The 27,326-nt window shown below is 34.8% G+C and overlaps 2 long non-coding RNA genes across 3 annotated transcripts in view; one reads left to right on the top strand and one right to left on the bottom strand.

Annotated features, from left to right (window-relative positions):
• Positions 1 to 27,326, bottom strand: part of LOC105370529 (uncharacterized) — a 149,443-nt gene that overhangs the window by 14,222 nt on the left and 107,895 nt on the right. The window lies entirely within an intron of this gene.
• LOC105370528 (uncharacterized) lies at positions 506 to 21,944 on the top strand. Of its 2 annotated transcripts, XR_943931.2 has the most exons (5): positions 506 to 542; positions 4,743 to 4,867; positions 5,352 to 5,660; positions 7,303 to 7,527; positions 21,608 to 21,944. It is a non-coding gene; the product is annotated as an uncharacterized LOC105370528 (long non-coding RNA). The 2 variants fall into 2 exon arrangements; XR_007064203.1 differs by lacking the exon at positions 21,608 to 21,944 and having other exon boundaries at positions 7,303 to 8,238.

Here is a 27,326-nt window from a genome sequence, read left to right as displayed (position 1 = left end):
CCGTGACTTGAATGAGACTGGAGACGATTATTCTAAGTGAAGTAACTCAGGAAGGGAAAATCAAACATCGTATGTTCTCACTGATGTGTGGGAGCTAAGCTATGAGGACGCCAAGGCATAAGAATGATACGATGGACGTTGGGGAATTGGAAGGGAAAAGTGGGAGAGGGGCAAGCGATAAAAGACTACAAATATGGTGCAAACCAAAATCTCACAAATCATGTAATGAAATACCACCTGTACCCCAATAACGTATGGAAAAATAAAGTTTCAATAGACCTAAAATTATAAGATTAATTGAAATCTCCTGAAAGTTAAAAAAAAGCCTTAATATCAATCCTTTTAAAACTTTTCCAGGTCGGGTGTGGTGGCTCACACCTGAAATCCCTGCACTTTGAGAAGCTGAGGCAGGAGGATTCCTTGAGCCCAGGAGTTGAAGACCAGCCTGGGCAACATGGTGAGACCCTCTCTCTACAAAAAATACAGAAAATAGCTGGGAGTAGTGGTGCGTGCCTGTAGTCCCAGCTAACCCGGAGGCTGAGGTAAGAGAATCACTTGAGGCTGCAGTGAGCTTGATCATGCCGTTGCACTCCAGCCTGGGTGACAGAGTGAGACCCTGTTTCAAAAAGGAAAAAAAAAATTTTTTTCCAAAAAAGTTAGAGGAGAAAACACTTCCTCACTCATTCTATAAGGCCAGCATTATCAAAGCTGGACAGAAACATACTGCAAAAAAGTAAACTACAAACTAATATCTTTGATGAAAAAAATCCTTAAAAATGTATTATATACCATGATCAATGAGATTTATTTCTTGCATACAAGACTGATTCAACATAAAAAATGCCATCATTGTAATACAACAGATTAAGAAATGAAAGAATAAAAACCACATGATTATCCCAATTGATACAGAAAAAGCATGTTACAAATTCAACATGCTTTTATGATTAAAACACTCAACAAACTAGAATAAGAAGGAAACTGCCTCCACATAACAAATTATACATAAAAAATCCACAGCAAACATCATACTCAATGGAGAAAGAATGAAAGTTTTCTGTCTAAGACCAGGACCAAGGCAAAGATGATCACTAGTACACTGCTCTTTGACGTAGTTCTGAAGTTGTAGCCAGAGCAATTAGTAATTAAAAATAAAAACCAAAGGCCTCCAAATTATAAAAGAGTAAGTAAAATTACCTCTGTTTGCAGATGAGATAATCTTACATATAGAAAACCCTAAAGATTCCACCAAAAAACTGTGAGAACAAATTCAGTGAAATAGCAGGCTGATACAAGCTAATACACAAAAATCATGCTAACAATGAACAATCTGAAAAGGTAATTATAAAAATAATCATATTTACAATAGCATTAAAAGAATATAAATCTTAGGGTTTCACTTAAGGAGGTGAAATACTTGCCAAAATAAAACTGCAAAACATTACTGAAATAAAGAAGACTTAAATAGATAGAAACACACCCTGTGTTCCTGGAAAGACTTAATATTGTTAATATGTCAGTATCACCCAAACCAATCTATAGATTCAGTGCAATTTCTATCAAAATCCAGTGTTTTCTTTTTGTAGAAATAGATAAACCCATTCTAAAATTTATACGGAATTTTAAGGAAGCCCAAAGAGACAAAACAATGTTGGAAAAAAAAAAAAAAGCTGGAGGACTCACACTTTCTGATTTCAAAACTTAATATGAAGCTACAGTGTAGTACTGGCATAAAAACAGACATGTAGACCACTGGAATAGAATAGAGAGCCCAGAAATAAACCCTCACACATATGGTCAAATGATTTTTTGGCAAGGGTGTTAAGACCAAATGAGAAAAGAACAGTCTTTCAGGCAATGGTCTGGAAAAATTAGATATCCACATATAAAAAGAATAAAGTTGTACATGAACTTAATACTATATATAGAAATTAACTCAAAATGGATCAAACACCTAAATCTGTAAAATTATTAGAAGAAAACATGAACACATTATATTTGGCAATTATTTCTCAGGTATGACACCAAAGGCACAGTTAACAAAAAAGATAAATTTGATATCATGAAAAATTTTAAATGTGCATTAAAAGACAAAATCAATAGAGTAAAAAGGTGAACCACAGAATGAAAGAAAACATTTGCAAATCATATCTAACAAGGGATTAACATTCAGAATATATAGAGAAATTCCCAAAGTTAACAGCCACAAAAGCAAAGGACTTGAATAGACATTGCTCCAAAGAAAATACAAAAAACACATTTAAAGATGTTCAACATCATTAATCATTAGGGAAATGCAAATCAAAACTACAACATGATACCACCTGACACTCATTAGGATGGCTACTACCAAAACCAAAGAGAATAACAAATGTTAGGACGTGGAGAAATTGGAACACTTTTGCAAGAAATGTAAAATAGAATGGAAAACAGTATGGCAGTATCACAAAAAAATTAAAAATAGGATTACCATGTGATCCAGCAATTCTCCTTCAGTGAATTTACCCAAAAGACCTGAGAAAAGGATCCCAAAGAGATTTCTACACCCATGTTTATAACAGCATTATTCACAGTAGCTACAACATGAAAGTATCTTAAGCGTCCATCAGTAGATGAATGGATAAGCAAAATTGGCATATACATATGATGGAATGTTATTCAGCCTTAAAAAGGAATTTCTGACATATGCTTCGATATGAATAGTCCTTGAAGTCTTGATGCTAAGTAAGCAAACCAGTCACAAAAAGACAAATGCTGTATCATTCCACCTGTATGATACATTTAAAGTAGTCAAAATCATAGAGACAAAGTAGAATGGTGGTTTCCAGAGGATTGGGGGAAGGAGGAGGTATTGTTTAATAAGTATAGAATTGCAGTTTTATAAGATAAAAAGAATTATGGAGATGAATATTGGTGACAGTTTCAAAGTTATGAGTATATATAGTAACACTGAACTGTACAATTAAAATTGGTTACCATGGTAAATTTGTTATGTGAATTTTGCCATAATAAAAAATATTTGGAACTGGCCACAGTGGCTCAGGCCTGTAATCCCAGCACTTTAGGAGGCCGAGGCAGGTTGAGCACCTGAGGTCAGGAATTCAAGACCAGCCTGGCCGATACGGCAAAACCCCGTCTCTACTAAAAACACAAAAATTAGCCAGGCATGGTGGCAGACACCTGTAATCCCAGCCACTTGGGAGGCTGAGGCAGGAGAATCGCTTGAACCCAGGAGGTGGAGGTTACCGTGAGCTGAGATCCCACCACTTCACTCCAACCTGGATGACAAAAGTGAGACTCTGTCTCAAATATATATATATATATTTGTCTCGAATATATATATATATATATTTGTCTCAAATATATCTCAAATATATATATATGCTATATATATATATATAAATGCTATATATATATATATATAAATGCTATGAAAACATTACAGCTGAATGCAGTGTAAGGGCTAATAGCACTAGAATTACTGTTATTATAATGATTTGAAAATCAAATGTTTTGGAAAGTGTAGTTGATTGACCTTTCTTAAAAGTTGTTTATACAAGTCAAACAACTCAATAGGGCACTAGAAATGTTTCAACTTGAATTCGTCGAGAAGAATTTTGACTTATAGTAACTCTAAACATATTTAGTTGATACCGTAAATGACTTTCTTAAGTGCTTAGGTCCTCGTGCATTGCAAAGAACTTCTTATATAGGTTTATCCCAAATTTTAAAAATAATGGTGGCACATGACTTTCTCCACACACCTATATGATTTCAACATCATTAACAGTTTCTTTTTTTCTCCTATGGAGAAAAGCCCTAGAAGTAATACAAGTGGCTTTTGTTGAGATGGAGTCTTGCTCTGTTGCCCAGGCTAGAGTGCAGTGGCGTGATCTCAGCTCACTGCAACCTCTGCCTTCTGGGTTCAAGCAATTCTCCTGCCTCAGACTCCTGAGTAGCTGGGATTACATGCACTGATTACATGGCTAATTTTGGTATTTTTAGTAGAGATGGGGTTTTACCATGTTGGCCAGACCGGTCTCCAACTCCTGACCTCGTGATCTGCCCACCTCAGCTTCCAAAAGTGCTGGGATTACAGGCGTGAGCCACCGCACCTGGCCATTAAGTGATTGTTTTGAATGAGCTTTTCACTTTAGCCAGATACCTTAATGTAAAACAGGCATTAGAGTCACATAACACATTGCTTATTGCTTTCCAGAAGAGCTGGTTCCTTGCAAAATGGTGTGTTTGGTACACTATTGGTTTCTCTTTTTACAGTAGATGTCATCTAAGGGAGGGGAGACATGGTTCTGCTGTTACAGAAATCGTGCTGATTAGGAGCTCCTGTTCAATTTATCTACCTTTACAAATTAAGTGTGGGAATGTTTAGTACGGTGGAGTATAACACGTAATTCTTAAATACTAAGGGAACTCAGAAGTTTGTTCAGATGATTAACTATAACAATAATGTTCACTTATCTAATCCTCTGCAGACTATAATATGGAGGGTATTATATTTAACAACCCTCCTTATGATCTTAAAGAGAAAGTTGTCTAACTTAAGTACTTTAAATTATTGCATTACATTTGTTTTGCTCTTTAGCTATAGTAGTTTCATTTTTAGCTTTAGTAGTCTCATTTTCAGTTTTCCCATGATGCTGGAAACTACATTGCACAGATGTTTTCTCTCCCAAGTACTCAACAAGTAAGCGTATATTTAGCAACTGCACCATTCTCTTTAGCACTTCACTTCACCAGTTGAAGACCACCTTATCTGAACTGTGAAATGGAGAGGAAGTGACTGAAAAATCGTGTGAGACAAATCACAAAAAAACAGCAGGCAATTACAAGAGACATCTAGGAACAGGTAGTCAAATGCTTCATTTCATCCTAGGAACTTTTTGGTGTGCTAAGAGCAAGTGGCTAACTTGAAGAATAGATAACCTAATCTTAGCTTACTGTATTCAAGCACTCATGGGTGGTGGTGGGGGATATACTTACTATCCAGAATGGGGCAAATTGCAATCACAAGCTTTATTACAATTGAAAAGTTTGCATTTCTAACATTTCCACTATCTTTAATTTTTTCTTCTTTTGTTTTGACAATCCCTGTTAAATATTAGAAGTTAATACTTACACCAATTTAAATAACTATTTTATAGTAATAAATATTTTTAAATATTTATAAGTAAACATTAATACATATATTTAAGAGGGATTCTCAAAGCAATAAATTGTAAAGCCTAGTATTACTAGGTCATCATCTCTCATGAAACTTGGGCTGGTTGATCTAATTTACTCCTAGAATTTCAAATTACTGAATATCTCAAATCTTTTACTTTAAAATACAGCTATGTCCTTAACTTCAAACCATCTGCTGAACATGTAGATACCCTTGGAAACTGCAAGTGTAAGAATGAAGTGTTCTAAACCTTGGAGTGGAAGCCTTCAGCTGGGAGTCATTCCAATGGTCTACAGAGAGATGGTCAACATCAGAACCAGAGTAATAGCAGTGAAGATGTAAAGGAGAATATGAATGAAAAAATGTGCACCAGATTGAAATCTTATGACTTCAAAAATTCTCTTCTATTGGAAAAATGGAGAGGAAGAGGAAAGGGTCTATGATGACACACAAGTTTCTGACTTGGCAACCTGAATAGGTATAAGAAGTATCTTTTCTCTTTGTATAAGATGATAGAATAACTAATGAGAATAATTTCAGAGTTTGGGACTGAGATGTGTTGAGAACCTCCAGGTAAATATATCTGTTAAGGACTAGCATATGGGGCTTGAAGTCTAGGAGTGAATTCCAGACATGAATTGAAACCATGATCTTGGGAGATATAACCCTGTGAGAACATGTGGAAACATAATGAATAGAAAATACAATACAGAATCCCTTTTTTATTCCTTTGTAGTGATCATCTAGTTTGTTTTCAATTTGTTGCAACTGACTATATATTTCAAAATATATAGTCACTTTTTATATATGATTAGTAAAATGAATTAAAAATGATTTACATCAGACTTAGATGAGGTACCTCTTCTACCAATCTTTTATAGTCATTCAATATGGCGTTATAAGAAAAATGAGGTCATGTATGTACATACAGTTTAAATTGCTAGGTAGGGTTTGGGATCTAATTTCTGCCTATCAATTGCCTGGTTCAAATTTTACCAGGCCACTAGAATTAACATTCCCTTTATGTCCAGGGATTCAAATAAATCATTAATACCATCAGCAGACTTACTCAGGCATCTTCAGTATTACTGCCAAGGCACTTACCCATGCTAAGTAAGTCCCTTACCTGCAGAGAGGCAATGGCACTAGTTACATTAAATGCAAAGGAGGCTGCCTAAAAGATCTGAACGCATTCTTGTTCAGGCATGTAATCAATGTTTTTTTAATGCTGTTTCTAAAATGGATAAACAGATGTGGGTATCCCGGTAGCATTGGCTTTGTTTCTTCTATAAAATCGTTAAGAGCACTATCATCTATGATAGCATATCACTGCTCTTGAATAAATAGGCCCATTCAGGGCAATAAAAATAATCAGTACTTTTCTCATAACCATGCATGCACATGTTGCCCACCTTTCATTGAGCATTAGCTTCTACGGTGAGAAAAATGAGATTTATGGGCCATGATAGTTTCCTCTAAGGTTTGTGAATACACCAGGGATAATTAATACTCAATTTGATGAACTATGGACAATAAGGATTTCACACTTTTCAAAAGAGAATTTGCAAATATTCCAGGTAATTTACTTTAATGTTTTGCCTCTTCCAGATCTGTGGATTTAGTATCTTACTTGCCTTATCTTCTAACATTTGGATAAAGCTGACCACTTCTTCCTATTGACTACTCTGATTCCTTATATACAATTCTGATATTATAAGTAGCATACATATTATAACTGTTTTCTTTTCACTTTCCTCCTCTAGATTATGAATAGCTTAAAGAAGGGACTATGTCTTTCTTTTTAGTTCCCCGGCATAGAGAACGCAGCATAGAATAGGTGATAAATAGCGGTTTGTTAAAATAAAAAGGAAATACATGTTTCATGAAAAACTGAAAATAAAATTTATATTATTAAAAACTTATGTTAGATATTATCTCGGAAAAAATGGAACAGGTAGAAAAGTAAAACATGTTCAAACCTCAGAAATAGCAGCCAGTTCTAAACTATTTTATTGTTCATATTAATGTCATTTGAGGAAATCGTTTTGTTGCAAAGTGGTAAAAAGGAGTTTTAAAACATATTAATGAGACTATATTTTCTTCTTTTTTTTGGTCTTTAGTGTTCAGAAGTGTAACTAAAGGGGAGATGGAAGAATATCGGTATTTTATTCTGATATATGTAAAAATACTTTTAATCAACTGATTTTTGGACATAACTGAGCGAATTTTTCCAACAAAACTGGCTATGCTAAAGAACCCCAAATTACGGTGTTTTGGATGGCTAAAGAATGTGCTGAGATGTTGATTCCCTGGGCCATCAAGCTGGTGCATCCTCAGTGTGATTGGTAAATATTTATTTCTACAGAGTCCAAGACGTGAGAATGGTTTTGTGGCATAAAAGTCATGATGTCGACGTAAAACATTTTCTTGTGACTAGCAAAACATGTTAAATTGCATTGTCCATTTGTGTATGAAAAGAGAAAACCTTTAAAAATCTCTTCTGGGCATCATGTTTAGGCACAAAATTGGGAGTATTTGTTTTGCATGCATTTTATCTTCTTAATTATCTACTTACATGAAGTCATCTATACAATAGGTATTAGTGGAACTGGAGATTGATATCAGTATAATGGTCAAATAGCAGGTATAGAACTGTTATTTCAAGCAACACCTCAAGAAAGGCAGGTATGTGTGCAGGACAGAGCTCCGGGTGACCTTGGACTGACCCAGTTCTCTCCCCCTTTCTCATGTGAGGTTCTCAAACATAAACATAGAGAATATGCTGGCAGTGCAGCTTGCCGAGATAAGAAGGAACAGGCTCTATTCCTGCCCCTCCTGGAACAAGATGTCCTTCAGCATTTTAGCTTGGCAAATTATGTTATCCCTGGGATATAAAACCCAAGGTACACTGTTTTCAGCTGCAGTGCAGGTGGGGCACACATAAGATGCCAGACACCCTGGGCAGCTTTTCTGAGCTTCAGAAAAGCTCATCATGAATTCTAGGGCTCTGCTTCCCCTTACCGCCTATGTGTGAATAATAAAATTGCTTCACATAACTTGTATGAGTATTATGTCTCACCTGACTCATGCAAGTGATAAAAATTGCAGATCCAAATGCAGTGGACTGAAGTGTTAAGACTTCTCTTTCTCGTGATGGGCTTAGTGATGATATTTGCTATTCCCCATGCAGTGGGAATTTTTCCCAGCGGTTGGTAACCAGTGCACAGTTCACCTGCTTCACAATGCAGAGGAGGGGAAGCTGAAGGTTGAAGAACCAGAGGAGGTCATATTCAAGCAGAGGTCACAAGCACTGGGAAATTAGGACACCTTGCAATAGTATATAAATTCGAGGTTAGGACCCAATTATAGATTGCAAAATCAAAGATTTAATTCAGAGATCAGGGAGCTTGTTTTCAGTAACCAGTTATCAGGAAGGAGTCAGAAGTCTAGAAGAAAATTAACTGTGCCTGAAACAAAGAAGAGGCATATGAGGTCCAGAATTCAGATCTAGAGAACATGTCATAATGCTCAAAGTGCTGGCATAATCCAAAGGCAATGATGTTTTCTTCACACTTTCTGCCACGACAGGGTGAAGTCTCAGCAGGAGAAGGATCAAGGTTCATTCTTACATTCTTATATCCTACTATTTATTTAATTTGGTTCATCTTTAACCTCATTCTCTAATACTCACTTTCCTTATCTCTCTGGGATAGCCTCTTTGGACCAGTAGACTTTGAAGATGTCAAAGCATTCACATTTGCTGCTGCCTGCAAAACCTTGCCCCTAGACAGTTGCACTATTCATTTTCACATGGCCTCTGTTCTGACATCACCTCCTCAGTGATGTCTTTGCTAACAACCCTATGTAAAGTAGAACCAACACATTAGTCTTCAGCCCTTACTTGTTTCATTTCCAGTCATAGACCTTATCCCTATGATACTGCATTGAATCTTTATTTGCAAACAAACAGAAGCTCTATATAATGGATAATTTGTCTACTTCCCACCTATTCCCAGGAATATTCTTCTGGAAAGAAGACTAACACATTTATTTTTTTAAAGAAATAAATTAATAAACAAACATTTTAAGTAGAAGCTACAGCTAGCTGGAAATTTAAGTGAAAAAGAATTACAGATAATTGTGTGAGCTCATCAAGAGTCTGTTCATAAGTAGGACAGCCATTTGCCAGAGTTGAGAGAAGCAGTCTCATTATACAATTATAGTTCTAACAAGTTCTTGATAGTGCCCCTGTTTACACTCAAACTGTCATCGAAACTAGAGTAATCTAAGTAAAATATTTGGGAAAGCTTGCATGAGATAGGAGCAAGTAATAGGTGAGTTTTGACAATGTTATCACCTGAACACTTGTTTTGATTGGTTCTTTATCCACTGAAACTGTGCATGCCTCTATTAGAGGCCAATCTCTAAAGCAATAGCTATGAACTCAAATGCTTCAGGAGCCAGCCAGATGATTAAAATGTGTGGCATGGGCATCTGTGAAGACTGTATATGAAAAGCTAGATTTCTATGTCCTATGTTCTATGCTGTGCCATTTGTGTTGTCATGTTAAAACGCAGGCCTGGCCAGGCATGTGCCTGTAATCCCAGCTACTTGGGAGGTTGAGGCAGGATAATCCACTTGAACCCCGAGAGGTAGAAGTTGCAGTGAGCCAAGATCGGGCCATTGCTCTCCAGCCTGGGCGACAGAGTGAGACTCCATCTCAAAAAACAAAATGTAAGCCCAATCGTGTCATTCTTCCACATTCTAAAGAAAAACTATAAATCTAGATTTTATGTAAATTTTTTAAATGTTGACAACTAATCCAAACATTGTCAGATATCATGTCAGCAAAACAAATAACATCTTCTGCCAAGACACTGTCTCTGAGCTTCTCTTAAGCTCAAAATATTGTAAAATGTATTGGAGGTTCACTTCTCATGGCTAAAAAGAATTTAAATTTCTTTAGGATTTTCTGACAGGGTATGGTGCCTCATGCATGTAGTCCCAGCTACTCAGGAGGCTGAGGCAGGAGAATCAGTGAGTCAAGATTGCGCCACTGCACTCCAGCCTGGGCAATATAGCAAGACTCTGGATCCAAAAAATATATAAAATAAAAATGATTTTCTTTCTTATACTTATGAGCAACACAGAAATTTTTACCGCTTTCTTATTTTGTTTTGTTTCAATAAATTGTGAGAGAATTTGGCCAGAAACTTCTCTGCACATTCATGGAATATTGAACAGAAGAAAAATTCAAAAAGCAGTCTCAAGAGAGAAAATATAATGGATTTGGGATGTAGATGAAATATTGAAGATAAAGAGGAGCTAGAAAAGAAGAAAATAAATCAAGATGAAGCAACTATATAGGGAAAACAAACAAATTATTCAAGTGCTAATACTTTACTTTACTTTAAAAAGTTGCAATTTAAAATAACGATATGGTTTCCTAGTGGAAATAGAAGACTAAGTTACGGGAAACCAATTTGCTAAATTATAAGACTCCTGATGAGACCATTATCACTCTTATAAAATATACATTAATTATATGGAATCTGGTAGTTGCTCTAAAAGGTGAATAGTACAGGAACTGTCTTCTTTAAAAATTAAGAGTCAGATTCAAACTCTACCAATTTTCTTATCTGCTAGCTTAAGAGAAGTCAGGTTGATATCTAAACATTTATCAATATAACATATAATTAACAGAATTGTTATACTCTAAAATTATGACAGATTTGGACATTATCAACCAATATGGGAAAAATGAGATAAATTACAATAAAATATCATTGTATTAAATGGCATTTATGTAAATGTTAATTGCCTTGTAAACTGAATTACCTGATGTCAAAGAGATTCACACTGTCTGCTTTAAAGTGAGAGTTTGTGAAAAGGAGCTTCCGCCTTGGCTAATTAGGATGGTAATCTCAGAGGATAGAGTTGTGATGAGTGAGACTTGAGGTTTGAGAGAATCCTAGGGAGATGAGGTATTCAAATTGTTAGAAGAACATTAAGACATAAGGCGGAGAAAAGAAAGACAAAAAAGATAATGGAGAGGGGAAAAAACCCGAAAGAATAGTGGTCAGGGATGCTAAAGAAGAAAACACATAATGGAGAATTAGCCAGAGTATAAGACAAGAACAACTAGAGTTATGGTGGAATATAGAACATTTTATTCCTACATTTTGGAAACGCCAATGTGCTTTTGTTTATCTTATGACTGGAGAACAGTTTTGAACAGAGGTCAAAATCAGTGAACCAAACTCCATACAAAGCTGCAGAGACTGTGCTCCCAACCTAAAAAGAGAAATCTGGAGAAACAACAGAATTATAGAGATAATATCACAAGGTAACCAACTATTCTGAAATTTGAAAAGGAACAAACTGTTCCAAGAATAAAACAGGACCCAAAAACTGTTTCATCTGTGACTGACTAAATACAAGAGGAAGAGACATTTAAGTCTGCTGTCACTTGTAAGCTTCTGCCCAGAAGGGTAATCTGGGTGCTCAGAATAATAATTGCTGTCAAGTCAGGAAGCTGTACAGAATAGCCTTGGTGGAGCAAGCCTATAGTGATGATTGGTAGCTGCAAGGAGGGGTTGTCAGACACGAAGTCCTGCTTGCATCTTTTAAGGAAAATGCCTTAAGCAACTGGAAGAGTGGCAACAAGGCCACTTGGATACACAGGTAAAACCACTGGGTGAGGAGTAAAAAATTAATTCTTTACTCCTAAAAGAGAAAAGAAATCATTCTGAATATAAAATCCTAGAATACCAGGTGGAGATCTCCTAGTGAAATGAAAGAGTCGGGTAACTCCGAAGAAAGACCAGTGGCAAATTGTTGCAGACAAGGAAATGGGGAAGAAATATTGAGAAAACCCCATTACCAAGGTTCAGGCATATTGAGAGTTCCTGTGACAAAGGCTGGACTAGAACAGTAACAAAACATCCTTATCCCTAAAGGGGACAAGCATAGCACAGAGTACCAACTGATAGCTGCTTATCATTAAGAGGGAAACAAGAACACACAGAAGCCTGCTTGCAATGGCACTCAGTGATGGCTAAAAGCTAGGGGTAGATAACTGACAGGTGCTAGCCCACCACTGGAAGAATTTGAAGTCTATGATCTATGTAAGTAATCACAACAAAAGCAAAATTCAAAAGGAGCTTAAAAATCAATATTAACCATCTGATAGAAGAAAAGATGCTGAGATCTTCAAGTGTAAATTCTGCTTGCCTCAGTCTTAAGTGCCATACTCTTTACCCAGCATTCAGTAATTATCCAGCGTTACAAGACACATCAAAAGCAAGAAATAAAATTTATCATCAAAAGTCAAAACAATCAAAAGATCCAGATGCAGAGATGACCCAGGTATTGAAACTATTAGGTAAGGTATTTAATTATAAAATAATTATGATGAAAATGTAATAGATATAGTTTTAAAAAAAGGTAAAATATATAAACTGGTAGCAAACATCAGCAGAGAGAAAAACCGTAAATATCAAATGAAAATGGTAAAAATAAAAGATGACACAAGAGATGAAGAAATTCCTTGGTGGCCTCAGCAGTTAACTGATCTCAAGTTAACAGTCAACATGAAAATAGGTAAATAGACATTACCCAAACTGAAAAAGAGGTAAAAGAGTGAAAATAATATACAGAGCATTCAAGAAGTTTGAGACAGACAGTCTCAAAGGAACTAACCTAGGTATATTTGAATTCCTAGAATAAAAAGAGAGAAGAACCTGGCAGAAGAAATCGTTGAATATTCAACAACCAAAAATAAATAATGAAATACATCAAAACACATATCCAACAACCTCACCTCAAAATTATTCAAGCTGGAAGATGAAATATTCAGTCAGAATTTCCTCCAAGTTGAAGATAAAATAAAACATTTTTCAGATAAACAAAACTAAGAGAATTCATTGCCAGCAGATTTGTACTATAAACAATCCTCAGGCAGAAAGAATGTAATAGTCACAAATTTTAATCAATACAATGAGAGTTTCCAGAAATGCTAAGAATGAGGACTACTATAAGAGATAATTATTTCTTATTTTTAATCACTCAAAAAGATAAGTTACTAGATAAAAGCAATGATAGTAACAATGTATTATAGGTTTCAAAACATATAAAGATAAAATTCATTTAAAAATAGCTAAAAGGTAGAGAGGGAGGTATTGGAAATATTATGAAAGCTTATGGTATTCACGAAGTAGTATAATATTTTTAAGGTAGACCGTAAAACACTAGGAAAAACACTAAACTTTTCAAAATGGATAAAATTAATGAAGATAAAGTACAATAAAAATGTAAGTGAATCCAAAAGTGGCAAGAAAATTTAACAAAGTAACAATTACTAAATTGGGACAAATAGGGCACAAATAGAAAACTTAAATGCAAATCCTCCAATAATTTTAATGTGTCAAAACATATTAAAGGGCAGAGATTGTTAAATTGAATTAAGAAAGCAAGACTCTTTTACAATGTACTTTTACAAGAAACACTTTAGATGGTTTAAAAAGAAACCATAAATATAACTTTTAAACCATATAGATGGTTTTAAAAAGGATAGAAAACATAGGCCAAAAATCCCACTAATACAAAAGAATTTTACAACCTGTATTAATAGCAAATGATGTAGACTTCTGAGCAAAGAAGAGTGCCAGGGATAAATAGGGACATTACATAATAATGAAGGGACCAAATCATCAAGACGTAATCAAGGTAAATATGGATCAAACAACAGACTGTCAAAATACATACCGCTAAAACTGACAGAACTGAAAAAGAGACAATTTCGCAATTGGAGTTGGAAATTTTAATACTTCTCTCTTAGTATTTGACAAAACTAGTAGATGTAACATCATCTTATAAAAAGAAAGAATACTGGTCTTCCACAAACTCTTTTAGAAAATAGAGGACAACAGAACACTTCCAAACTCATCAGAAGTCAGTATTTACCCTGATGTCAAAGACAGACAAAGCCATCACAAAAAAATAATAACAACCCATATCCCTCATGAATACAGATACCAAAATTCTAAAGACTACATTAGCAAACTAAATCTAGCAACATCAAAACTATTAGACACCATGATCACATAGAATTAATCCCAAGAGAGCAAGACTGGTTTCACATCCAAAAATACCTTATTTTAATAAAATATAAACTCAAATGATCACTTGAACAGACATAAAGCATTAGACAAAATCTGTCACTCATTAATGATTAAAAACTTTTAACATAGTAGAAACTTACAAAAAACTCCTCATCTTGATAAAAAGAATGTACAGAAAAATCCTACAGATGATATCATACTTAATGGTGAAATGCTGAATGCTTTCCCATTCACATTGGGTGAAATAAAATGAAGATGCTTGCTCTCATTTCAACCTCATGCTGGCATCCTAGCCAGTGCAATAATGCAAGCAAAGGATTGGGTAGGAAGAAATAAAACTGTTTTAATTAACATGTGATAATATTGTCTAAAAAGAAAAACACAGAATTTATGAAAAGATATTTAACAAGTATTTTCACTGGATTTGAGGACGCAGTTCACATACAAAAAATCAATTATATTTCTATATACTAGCAATGAATTGGAAACTGAATTTAACAACAGTACCATCTTGAAAGACTACATACTGGATGATTACATTTATATGACATTCTAGAGAAGGCAAAACAATAGAGAAATCAATGGTATTCAAGGGCTTGCTGGAGGTTATAGAAGAGGGGCAAGGAACTTTTGGGAATGGTAGAAATATTATTTATCTTGATTGTGATGATACATGACTATAAAAGTTTATCAAAGATTTGCATGCTACATACTACAAGACATTAGTGAGCAAAATGAAGAAGACACATCAATGGAGATCTATGACCTATACATTGACGAGAAGACAGAATATGGCCACAATGCCAATCTATAAATAATTGTACACAGTCCTAGTTTTTGTAGATAGTGATGACAGCAAAAAAAGATTGGAAATAACCAAATTTTGAAAAAGAATAAAGTTGAAGATTTTATACTACTTGATTTCAATTAACCATAAAGCTAAAGTAATTAAGAAAGCATGGCATTTGCAAAAGAATACACATATAAATTAATTGGATGGACTGGAGAGTCCAGAATTAATCCCAGCCATACATATCACTTAGGTAGTTTAATATAGAAGTGATAGGCTTGTCAATAAATGGTGCTATGCTGTTTGGACACTCATATACAGGAACACTGACCTCAACACATATCTCATACCATGTGCCAAAAAATAACCCCAAATAAATATAAATCTAAACATAAAACCTAGTGGTATAATACTTTGTTACGTAGAGTTAGGGAAAGATTAAGACCCTAAGAGGATAAACCACAAAAATATGACAAATTGGACTTTATCATAATCTAAAACATCCATTCTTTGAATTAATATGCCACAGACATAGAGAAAACAAAATACGTATCTGTTAAAGGATTTGTCTCAATAATATATAGAGAACTCCGGAAACTCACTCAATAATGAGTACACAACACAATAAAAAATGTGCATACTATTTGAATATAGCCAAGTAGTCTACCAAAGAAGAAATACAGGTGGTAAATATGCACATGAGCTCAACACCAGTAGACATTAATAAAATGCATATTAAAGTTACAAAGAGCTCCTTACTAATCTAATAGCATAGCTAGAAAAATACAAAACAAAGCCTGACATACCAAATGCTGGTGATGATGTGAAGCAAATACAACTCTCACACATTACTGATAAAAATTCAATAAGGTACTGTCACCTTGGGAAACAGTTTGGGAGTTTCTTATATTTAAACATATACTTAAGATACAGCAATCCTACTCCTAGTATTTATCTGGAGAAGGGAAGATCTATGTCCACCAAAAATCCTACATATGAATTATATAGAAGCTTTATTCATAATCACAAACAATCTAAAATCTATCCATTGGTGAAGTGATAATTTATGATGTATCCATACAATGGAACACTACTCAGTAATAAAAATGAATCAACTGTTGATACATGCAATATTATGCATGAATTTTAAAACCATTATGCTGAGTGAAACAAGTCAAATTCTATCTACTGTATGATTCAATTTATGTGACATTCTAGGGAAAGCAAAACAATAGAGGAGGAAATCAGTCGTATTCAAGGGCTTGTTGGAGGTGATAGGAGGGAGACAAGGGAAATGTAGGGATGATAGAAATATTCTTTTATCTTGATTGTGGTAATACATGACTATAAAAGTTTATCAATTTTATAAAACTGTACTCAAAATGGGTGAATTTTACTATATGTAAACTATACAGCAATAAACAGAAGCGAGTCTATGGATGAGCCCATTTTTTCAAGCACAAAGAAAGATTATATTAAAGAAATAAAAGCTTGGCCTTGGCTTTTGGGAAAAGTAAGAGAGACTCACAAGAGAAAGGTTATGGCCAGAGATGGATTCAAACTAGGAAGAAGTATTTGGCTCTTTGTCTCAGCAAAGCTAGTGGACATAATGCAAATTTGAGCTGTAACTTACTTCAAGGGCTTATGATTGTGGAAAGCATTCAGAGAACAATTCAATATTTGACAGATCTTCAGTGAAAGGAAGGAGTAAGAGGTTGCAAGCAAAGACCTTGATTTGTATCTTTGGGAGAAAAGTCTCCCTCATTTGTCCTCCAGCCTATTTAAGTCCATTGAACAGAAAGGGTGTTCTTTTCATTCACTTCCAAGACACAGGACATGCTAGTTTCCTAGGGCTACTATAACAAAGTGCCACAAGAGGATGGTTTAAACAACAAAGTTATCGTCTCACAGTTCTGAAGGCTAAAAATCGAAAATCAAGGTGTTGGCAGGCCATATTCCCTCTAAAAACTATAGAGGAATTTTTCCTTGCCTCTTCCCAGCTTGTGCTGTTTTGCTGGAAATCTTTGGTGTTCCTGGCTTGCAGCTGCATAACTGCAAAGCAATCTGCCTTTGTCATTTCATGGTTCTCTCTGTCTGCCTGTGTTTTCACGTGGCTTCTTTATAAAGATACCAGTCATATTGGCTTTATAAAGATACCAGTCATATGGGCTTAGGGGCCCACTGTACTTACAGTATAACCTCAACTTAATTAATTATATTTGTAGCAAGCCTTTTTCCAAATGTCATTCTGAGGTATTGGCAGCAGGAGTGGGGAGGGTTAGGACATCTCTCTTTCTGTCTCCCTCCATATAGATAGATAGATAGATAGATAGATAGATAGATAGATAGATAGATAGATAGATAATTTGATGTGTTTAATAGCTCTGTGGGTAGATTAAGCACTGAGATCTTGTATTCTGCTATATTGCTAACATTACTCCTTACAATTAACAAATTCTAAGGAGAAATTGAAAAAATTGACAAACTTCCAGGCAAAAAATGTTATTTACAAAGAAAAACCACAAGGCATCAGATTTCTTGTTAGTCCTTGATGGTTTACCACTTTGTATTTCCTGAGTGCTGTATGACCATGCCTACCTCCCACTGCAACATACTTAAATCTATAAAATTAATTTTCTGGAAATGAGATTGTATCACTTTGTAGTCTGGTACCTATAACTTTACTATATTTATTATAGGATTTTAATAATTAGGATTTAAGCAAATATTTATTCCCAACTCCAAACAGAATATGTTAGCATGAAATCAAGCATTGAAGGAATGTATCAGCACATGCTCCATCTGAGAGAAATACTTAGAAAGCAACATATGTCAGAAATAGACACGTGGTGTTAAGCAAAGAGCACTGCAACGCCTATGAAGTCAAATCAATACGTACTTAGTAAGCTATCTAGAAATGTGTGACCTAAGTACCAAAGGATACTTAAGGATTCCTTAAGTATAAGAAACCCACTATCAAGTAAATATTGTTAATACAGCTTAGCATTTGGTAGAGAGGGTAGGTGTGGTTGGAAAAAGGAGACCAAGTAAAACAATCCCAAATGTCTCATGTTTCAAGGAGGAGTAGAATGGATATAAAAATATTTGAAAAGTTTCAGTCTATTAGCAGGAAAATATTGATCGTGGATAGCTTGGATATCTTGATTTCATGTAATCATAAAGCAATGTGTTTTTAATAATGGATATTGAGATTAGGAACACAATAATTAATTTATTAAAACATTTATTGGAGTTATAAAATTAATAAATAGAAAAGGAAATGAGTAGCAATTTGATCAAGCCAGAAAAAATAAAGATAAACCAACACAAAATGAATAACAACCATTAATAAATCATTCATCAGTGAAGTATCTAGTCATTGAGAGTCCTGGTAAATAGGACTAATTCTCCTGGCAATAACAACTAAGGAGAGTCAAGCCAGAAAAAAGGAGGAAAAGATAAACCATAAACCAACATAAAATGAATAACAACCATTAATAAATAACAATTCATCAGTACAGTGTCTAGTCATTGACAATCCTAGTAAATAGGACTAATTCCCCTGGTAATAACCACTAAGGAGGCTTGACAAAAGCACCTTTTAAAAAGTTCAGAGACCTTACAGGAGACTCACAAATTATCAGGATGAGAACAGAAAAAGGACTATTGCTCAGAGGTGAGCCAGAATTGTTTTTGCCTCAGGGGCACACACTCAAATATAAGTCCTGGCTAACGACCAGAGGTATACAATGCATGTGTCTCAGTCCTGAGCCTCTACTTCCTGTGTACCCGAAACATTGATACTTTTGCCCTGAGACCATTTTCTAACTTTTTGAAAGTCATTGAGAGTCTTAATTGCTCTATGGGGCAGAAAGAATGAGGTCTGTAGTTTGGTGCCTACCAAAGACAAAGACACCAGTATAACAGTCATGCTCTGAACTGGTACCCTGGAGAACTATTTTCTGAAATGATGGTACAGTCTATGCTCTGGCTAGTATTCTAGTTAAACCATAAAACCCTCAGCCCTTGGTTCTCAGCCTGCTACTGCCCTCATATGTCTTATAACAAAGGGCAAAATTCTCCCTTGAAGAAGCTAACACTATTCCCAGATTTGAAATTATTTCTAAAAATATTTTTCTAACAATATACCCAGAATACATTACAAATTATACATGATGATTAAACAAAATTAGCCAGAAACTAGAGAAGGAGATGCAAAGGCACTCCAGATAATGGAATTTTCAGACACAGGCTAACAATAACGATCTCTATTTCAAAGATAATAATCAAACTTGAAAAAAATTAGCAAAGGAACTGAAAATTATGACAAATAACATTAAAGCATCAAAAAAGAAATTGTAGAAATAACTGAAATTAAGAACAACTGATTGAGTATTTAACAAGAGATGTGACAAGATGCAGATAAATTTGTGAACTAAAAGGTAAAAAGAAACTACACAAAATTAAATATTAGAAAAAAAGATAAAAAGGCCGGGCACGGTGGCTCACGCTTGTAATCCCAGCACTTTGGGACGCCGAGCCGGGCGGATAACGACGTCAGGAGATTGAGACCATCCTGGCTAACACGGTAAAACCCTGTCTCTACTAAAAATACAAAAAATTAGCCGGGCGTAGTGGCGGGCGCCAGTAGTCTCAGCTACTCAGGAGGCTGAGGCAGGAGAATGGCGTGAACCCGGGAGGCGGAGCTTGCAGTGAGCGGAGATCGCCACTGCACTCCAGCCTGGGTGACAGAGCGAGACTCTTGTCTCAAAAAAAAAAAAAAAAAAAAAAAAAAGATAAAAAATACAGGAGGGAAATTGACATTCCTTTTACAGTTAGAAAATCTAAAAGGCATTGAAATGGAGTCCCAGAGGATGAGAGAGAATGCAGAAGCAATATTTGAAGAGAAAATGGCTAGGGATTTCTAATAACTAAATAATTCACCAATTCACAGATTCAAGGAGGATATATTTAAATATATGATGTGTTTGTGTGTGTTTTAAAAATACACAAAGACATAATAAACTTGATAAAACCCAAGACAATTAGGAGTCTTAAAAGTAGTGGAACAAAAGATAAGTTGCCCTAAGAAAAAATGACAAACAGCTGACTTCTCTCTACTACCATTTGAAGCTAGGAGACAATTAAGACATATCTTTAAGCTGATAGAAAGTAACTGATAAGCTAGAATTCTCTACCCTGCGAGAGTACTCGTAAATAATGAAGGAAAAATACAGATATTTTTGGATTGATAAAACAAAATCTAGAGCAAAAACAAAAAACAAAATCTAGAGAAAAAACAAAATCTTTTCACTGGATAAAGTAAAATTTAAAAAACACATATTTAAACATTGTTTTTGAATATCCCATTTGATTTAGGAATTTTTTAAATAAAAATCTGACAGTTACAACAGATATGAACTATTAACAATGAAAATATTTGGGGGAAGAGGTGAGTCTCTATTGATAACAACCATCTTTGCTCTAGTTCCTCCTGTTCTGAACTATTTTGGGGGAGAAGAAGGAAGTTTAAGAGATGCTTTTCCAAAATAGCTCCCACTAGCCAACTTCCCATGAAACTTACCTTCAGCTAAATATACCTATTTGATTTTGAGTTTGAATGTAGTATGTTCAGGATATTATGAATGAGGGAAACTTCAGAACATCTGTTTTACCAATATCATTTCAAAGGGACTAAAAACTGGATATTTTTCAAAAATCACACAATGCAACATACCTTTCCAATATTCTATATTAGAATATCTGAAGATGGGGTCCATAAATCAAATGTTTCTAAAAATCTTCAAGTATTTCTTATCAATCCAGCACTAGATTGTGAACAAGTATTTGGGAACCACAGTTCCAGATGCATTTCTAACAATTTACAATTCCAAAGCTCTTACTAGTTTAGAATGGTTCCACTGATTTTCATCCAATTTAACGAACATGTATTAAGCATATTTTACATGTCAAGGTTAGTGCTTGTTAGGGGCTTAAAAGAAGAAGCAAACAAGATTATTGCCCCGAAGGAGCTTTCAGCTTAATTGAAAGAAAGATTAATAGGTTAATTACATACCTATAAAGGTTATGATGAGTGAAAGCATGGAATAGGAGAAAGTAGGGGAAGAGATGGAGTCAAGAATATATGGAGGAGATAGCACCTGATAAATCTTGAAGGGTGAATGTGTGATTAGTTGAATGAGAAGGAGAGATCAGGGAGAACTGTAAAAGATGAAATTTCAAGACACTGAGAACAATATTAAAAACATGCTATTTTTAAAAAAATTATACTACTTTACAGTCCCATAAATTTGGGAGTGAGCCAACTTACTCCAATAAAGATCCTGAGATATTCCATCTTGAATCAAGAAATTAACCCATACCGAGGATTCATGAAACTCTGTGCATTTGGCTATACATGGTGAATTTAAACTTTGGAGCCTTTTCAACTGTAATCTTTTGTTTAACTACTCTCCTCTCATCTATCTTGAAACCATTCTCTCTTGATTACAGCCAATATGAAGACTCAGAGACATTTTTAAGCCCAATAGGTAACGAAAGGATACAAATAATGATGATGATAATGATGCTAAAAACGACCTCACACATGAACAACATTGCCAACTTCTGCCACTCTGATTAGAGCCTGGATGGAAGACCCAGACGGATGGGAGGAACTTGAAAAGGTATTGGAATGGGACCCAACAGAGTCTAAATCTGACAAGTCTCAAACAAACACTGAAGGAAGTCAAAAACAGGACATTAACAATTTTCAGTCTACAGGCTAAATGATTTATGTGTTTATTAAGTTCTCTCTTACAGTGGTTAGAATGAAGCTATGACACTAGAGACTTGCATTTTCAGTGCTACAGAGGAGGTCGTTGCTGTTGCTATGGTTTCCATGATGTGGATGCTATAAACCCATGGAGCCGCACCAGTATACGACTATGCAACTCTGCTGCAGCATGTCAAAATTACTTTTTGCTGTGTTTTACTTTGAGCACTAGAAAACTGTAAACCGACAATCACAAATCACAGGAATTATAAAATAACTTCCACTATTCTTATATTCATATTACAATTTTTTACCTACATTAGGAGAGAGCTACAGAACTTAATATTCCACTAAGGTAGGTGTTTTCACATGTTCTACATCTTCCTTGATTCAATTTCAATCTTTGGCCCACTTCAGGGTGCACAAGTATTAATAGCAAGGAAAATGTTAGCAATATTTCATGTTCTGTTGGAATCTGACCAAATATGATTCTTCATTGTAACACTGACAGATTTGAGTATATTATGTTCTTCCCAATAGAAATCATGGTATAATAAATGGGAACTTTATATCAGTATTAGGTTTACCAATAATTCATTAGAGTTTAATATTATAAGTAAGAGCAACAGTGCTAGTTTGCATTATTTTTCCGAATGCTTAAATAAGTATAACATTTGTGTTGTCTGTTACTGCCTCATTTCGTTTGCCATAAAAGTGACCCTTGGAGGAATAAAACAGATCCACACAATAGCTCAGAATTGCTGGTAGTATTAATCACTGTTTAGTATTGTGACTCTTATTCGTAGTAAATAGCCCAGCTGTTTAGCCAAATGTTTTTAACCTAGACCAAATAATTTTTAAATACATGTTATGGTTTCTTTTTAGAGTCTCTATTGTATTCATAGTTATGCTATTTCTAGCATCCGTATTATTTCTTTGCAACTGACCAATGACATTAATCCTTCAATGACCTTTGTGTACTTTAATTCAATGAACATTCTTTAAAAAACTGCTATGAAACTCATATGTTAGGTTCTCTGGAGCACACACACACTCATGTCAATATACTATACCCTCAAAAAAGTTTATGACCTAGTTAGGAAAAAAAATGCTTAACTCTTCAATACAAAGTAGAATATTATTTAATGTTTAAAACATTATGCGTTGTAATATATTATCCAGTCTTGTGCATTGTAAACTTGGTTAGAGTAATGCTGTGTTTAGAAAGTACCTGGAGTACTGAGAAGAAAAGGCAATGATTTGGGAACTCATGGGCTAGTGATACCAGCCCTGTGAACTCTTCATTGACCCATAAACCTCCAAATTATGCCAGAGAAAAAAGGTCTTTCAGTCAATCCTAAGCTCATATTATTATTTTTTATTTTGGATAAAATGTGTGCTACAGTGCTTGAGTTTTCTATCTGTTGGTCATCTGTCTTCTGAAGCCAGTATTACTCATCTCTGACCCTAAAGCCTTAGCAGGGCCATAGGTCACTTTATAATATGCTCTCAGATGGTTGGCCTCTTTCTGGCCCTGTGGCTTTCATTCTGCATGTACTTCTAATTGTACTATGCAACATGTAGAGGTGTATTTCTTTACAGGTGGGAGTAACTAAGCTGCAATAAGGCACACAAGCCAACCTCCTAATGATCTCTTTTCTATTAAAACCATGTTGTTAAATATAATACTTGTGAAAATAGAAATATGAATTATCATTCCTTGGTACAATTTTAGAATATTTGACGAATCAATAAACAAGAAAACTCCACTTAGAAAGACCTGAAACCTCAATCCTATGTACATTCTTAAGATGGCATTACACATAGAAATGATCTAAAATGCCTCAAGTATTATTTCATTCAGATTTTTCTGCACACATGATCTATTCCATCATCAATAAATAAGAGAAAGTTCTATGATACCTAATGCCAGGTCTAAGACCCTACAAAGTCTCTGGTTTTGTCATCCAAGAAGTGCTGTGTCAGTAAAAGTATCCAATTTTGGCTGAATTGTTCTTCATGCATAACTGACTTTTATGGAAATTACAGAAAGTTTAGTAAGTGTGGATCAGAGTGCACAGCCTGAGCTGGTATGGCCTCATTGTGCCCGCAGGACATGCTGGGAAACCTGAATAATTTGCATTGTCAGAATTCCTGGAGTATCTACTTTCTGGGTTCCTTTGGCAGCTAGATGGAAGAATAAGAGCCAGAGTTGGGACAGTATTTTAATGGATTCATATTTATGCCATTACATAATGATCAATTTGTTATTTATTGCTTAACCAGAGCAATAATTAGGAAAATCTAGAATCTCTACGAGCCTCATCAGAAGATATATTAAATAATGCGTTGGGATAACCTTTCTGTACTCATAGGAGGCTTCAACCCTCCTACATATGTATTTAAAATAAACTGAAGTCATTAGTTACATAAGCATCTATCTGAAAATGCTGTAGACCCCGTCATGTGTCCTCAGCATGGCACTAGTGATTCCTGTGTTTCCTGCTATCAATCAAGGGGCCTACTGTCTCATTGGGTAGTTAGTACTGGATTTGAATTTTTATAGCATCTGTGATGAATGTTTATACCAAACAGAAGGAAGTCAATGAGTTAAAGGTAAAAGAAAAGACTCAGTGATGAAGATGCCATCCTAAGTTATCCAGACCCCCAAAATGTACTGAACCTACACAGAAGACCCAAAACTTAGAAACTTTTTTTTCAAAAATAGACATCCAAAAATTGGAATAATGGCAATTAACATTATTTAAGAGTCAGTATTGTAAATCAATTAACACTGAATTCAACAGTCATCTGCTGAGATGGAAATTCCATTGCTATAAGCTACTGGACCTCTCTGTGCTTGAGATTCTTCACTCTGCATATGAAAATTAACTGAATTGTAATATGTAAACTGCACAGTATAGTTTCTGGCCCAGATAAATTGTTTTTATTGTTAATTGAACACTTACTTTGTGCCCGTCATGATTTTAATCAATTTACATGTTTTATTTCAGTCAACAGTTGCAAAGACCCTATGAGGTTTACATGAGAAACCAGAATATAGAAATAAAGCAGCTTTCCAAAAAGCTTAATTTAACTTTATTAAGTAACAATTTGGACTAAGGCAGTTTGACTGTGGAGTCGATGCTTTTAACCAGTGTACCATGCTGCCCAAGCTTTCTGACCTACATCACTTCTCCTTATTGAGTACCACTCTTTCCTAAGGAAAATGTTGCTGCAAAATATAAAACAATTAGTTCTTACAGATGCGATTGTCATTGGTGGTGTGCTTATCAAAATTTCAGTTTTGATTGTGAAATTAAAAATTTCAGTTTTAAATTGTGAAGACACAATTTAAAACGGGTAACAAAATCAAGAGAACATATATGCAGTACTGGAAGTATATCCTTGATAATTGTATCTGAACACACAGGTAAAATTAGGGTTTTTTTAATTCAGATATGGAACATTCTCAACCAGTCCCCCTCATCCCATTATATGTCTCCTTCTCCCACAAACACACAAGTTTACTTTCTCACATTCCAACAATAGAATGGAATGTTTAAAATGTATTTTGTATAAAAGTTGGGGATGGCCTAGAATTCAACCAATAAATGCTCATACAACATTAGATTTGTGCCACTTCATAGTTGCTCCCCTATTCCAAGTCATAAAAATAACTTCAGATATGAACTTCAAAATGTATACTATTAGTAAGAAACTGCTCTAATTATAGAGTATCTTAGAGGACAACTCGATGGGGATCCTTTATATCGTCCCAAGAGTATTTCTTCACAATAAAATTTATGTAATCACTTGAATAGCCTTTTAGTTATATCTGAGAATACAAAGACCACCAAGTTGTTTAAACTATAATGTTCCAAAGAATAGACAGTAATTCTATTTTACCAGCTATAGTATTCCTACTTTTTAAAGTAAATAGATAACTGAGATTACTAAGCACTCAGACTTCGAATTTAGTTACGGTAAGAAGTCTGGAGTATTAGATAAATTTGATTCAATGTAAGTCAGATGAATAGAACCTTTGAATCAGTTTGTGGACAGGATAGTATTATCAATCTATGTAATTTCAATTATTTTGGAATTGCAGAAGATATTTTTTACTTTTAGCTAATCTTTCCTATTAGATTATATTGGGCCAAAGACACTGAAGCTAGCTGATGTGGAGTTAAAGATATAAACCTGACAAAAGCTAGCCAGTTGTGAACTCATCAACCCTTCCTTTTACTGACTCATGCTCTAGTTTCTCATTGCATGATGATAACCCAAAGCCAAAGAGAGTAGTTAATTATGTTACTGACATTAAAAATTGAATCAAAGGAGACTTTGAGAAAGTTAATTGTGACACTCCTGTACCAGAAGAATAAACCAGTACTCATGCTTAATTAAAATATAACATATGTTACTGCAAACCTAAATTAAAAGCTTTTCATAAAACTAAATTTAAGCCATTATTTGTTACTCCAAGGCATACTTTTGCAATCAGTTTATAAGATATCCTATAGTTCTCACCATCATTCTAACAGCAGGAACTGAGACATGTTTCTGTGGTTTCTCATTTATTTTTGCTCAAGCAACAGAAACTTAAGAAATTTAAAACTTTTTAATGATATCATTACAATATAAATTAAAATAATAGCTAACATTTTTAGAGCTTACTCCATGCCAGAGATCATTCTAAGAACCTCCAATCTTTGAGATACATGCCATTATTATTCCCATTTCCCAGAGGAAAATCTAAGAGCTAAGTAACTTGCCGAAGAGCATACAATTAGTATGCTGCAATCTGCCTCCTGAAATAGTGTCTTATCCACTATGATAAACTCATAAGACTACTGTCTTTTTTATACTTTACTTTGAGTCCAAACATCGAAGTGGCTAAACTCAGCTTCCAAGGGGAGTACCCATCCAAGTTTATGGCCTCCTCAATTCCACTGGTCTTCATCTCAACTATCTAACATTTCAGCTGTCTTCCCTTTTGGGTACACCCTAGATCTACTGTCCCCTAAAATTCCTCTACATCTAAAAATCCTAAAACATTTCTGAATCATGATCTCTCGATTTTTCTCACTCTGTTATTTACACTATACAAGTTCTTTAGCCAGTCCTGAATTTTTGCTATGTTCCTATTTATTTGCTTTTCAGTCACTGAATTTTCTTTCCTTGTTCATCCTATTCCTTATGATCAGTAACCTCTAATAACTTTTTACTCCTTTTCTTTCCCTTTGTTATCCCAATAAAACTTTACCTGTGGAGTAATTCAGAATTTTCTTGAATACCAAACTGATTATGCCACATGCAAGCTTAACAGTGATTAATAGTTCCACATTTCCTTCTGGATAAAATACAGACTTGTTAACATGGCACCTAGTACCAGATCCGGCTGAATATTAACTTATTAAGTAAATGAATGAAACTTCTATAGAATGTTTTCTC

The sequence above is a fragment of the Homo sapiens genome, chromosome 14, assembly GCF_000001405.40.
Source record: "Homo sapiens chromosome 14, GRCh38.p14 Primary Assembly".
Lineage (NCBI taxonomy): Eukaryota > Metazoa > Chordata > Mammalia > Primates > Hominidae > Homo > Homo sapiens.
This window is presented reverse-complemented; position numbering and strand designations above follow the sequence as displayed.